This window comes from Homo sapiens, chromosome 6, assembly GCF_000001405.40.
Source record: "Homo sapiens chromosome 6, GRCh38.p14 Primary Assembly".
Taxonomy (NCBI): Eukaryota; Metazoa; Chordata; class Mammalia; order Primates; family Hominidae; genus Homo; species Homo sapiens.
Window position 1 is genome coordinate 126691383 of NC_000006.12, and position 1228 is coordinate 126692610.

Below are 1228 nucleotides of genomic sequence, written 5' to 3' on the forward strand. Positions count from 1 at the left end.
GTATATAACGTATTGCTAGTCCTATAGAACATAGAAATGCAGTATGTTTCTGCACAGAGGAGGTGGGTAGGATTAAATCTGTATTAGAATTAACAATGTATTATTGAATTTGTAACATGAATCAATATACAATATTAATAGATGTAATAATAATACCACAAAAGAAGGGGAGAAAATAGTGTTGTATGGGAGTAATATATTTCTATGTCTCTCTGGGATCAAGCTGAGATCAATATGTACTGGGATCAAGTACATATTGGAAGCTGATTCTGTAAATTAAGATATACATGGTAAGCCCTAGAGTAACCCCTAAAAACAACAACAACAACAACAACAAACCTCAAAAAACATAGTGAGATAAATAATTTAAATTCTTCATTAGGAAATATTTACTTAATGCAGAAGAAAGCAGTAAGGGAGGAATAGAAGAACAGAAAAATACATGAGACACAGTAAACCAAAAGTAAAAATGACAGCTATAAATCCAACTATATCAAACATAACATTAAATGTGAATGGATTAAGAAATCTGATCAAAATGCAGAGATTGTCAGATGGATTAAAATAAAACAATAAGATCCAACTATACACTGTCTATAGGACACACATGTTAGACGTGAATGTTTATAGAAGAATTATTCACAACAGCCAAGTTGTAGAAACAACCCGAACACTCATTGACTGACTAAATGGGTAGGCAAAATGTGCTATGCAGATGTAATGTTCAGCATAAGATGGAATAAAGTACTGATCTGTGCTGCAACATGGATAAGACTTAAAGACATTGTGCTAAGTGAAAGAAGCCAGTCACAAAACACTACATACTCTATGTTCATTTACATGAAATATCCAGAATAACAAAATCTATAAAAATGGAAAGTAAATTGGTGGTTGCTTAGGAAAGAGGGTTGGATGGAGAGATAAAGGGAAGGTAATGTAGACAGCAGATTTTCCTTAGGATGTGATGGACACATTCTAAAATTGACCATGCTGATGGCTGTGCATATCTGTGAATATAGTAAAAAAAAAAAAAAGAAACATTGAATTGTACACTTTAGTGAATTGTATATAAATCATATCTTAATTAAGCTATTAAAATTTTTTTAAAGGAATAGAGGGCCATATAGAGAAGTGAATGAGCTAAAATTGGGAAATTCAAAAAGAGCACACCACTCAGCCACAATTCACAATACTATTTTAGCCAAAACTAAGAAATCTTTAGTACTTG

The 1228-nt window shown here is 31.9% G+C and overlaps 1 long non-coding RNA gene across 1 annotated transcript in view; it reads left to right on the forward strand.

Annotated features, from left to right (window-relative positions):
- LOC105377992 (uncharacterized) overlaps positions 1–1228 on the forward strand; it is a 61454-nt gene that overhangs the window by 31008 nt on the left and 29218 nt on the right. The window lies entirely within an intron of this gene.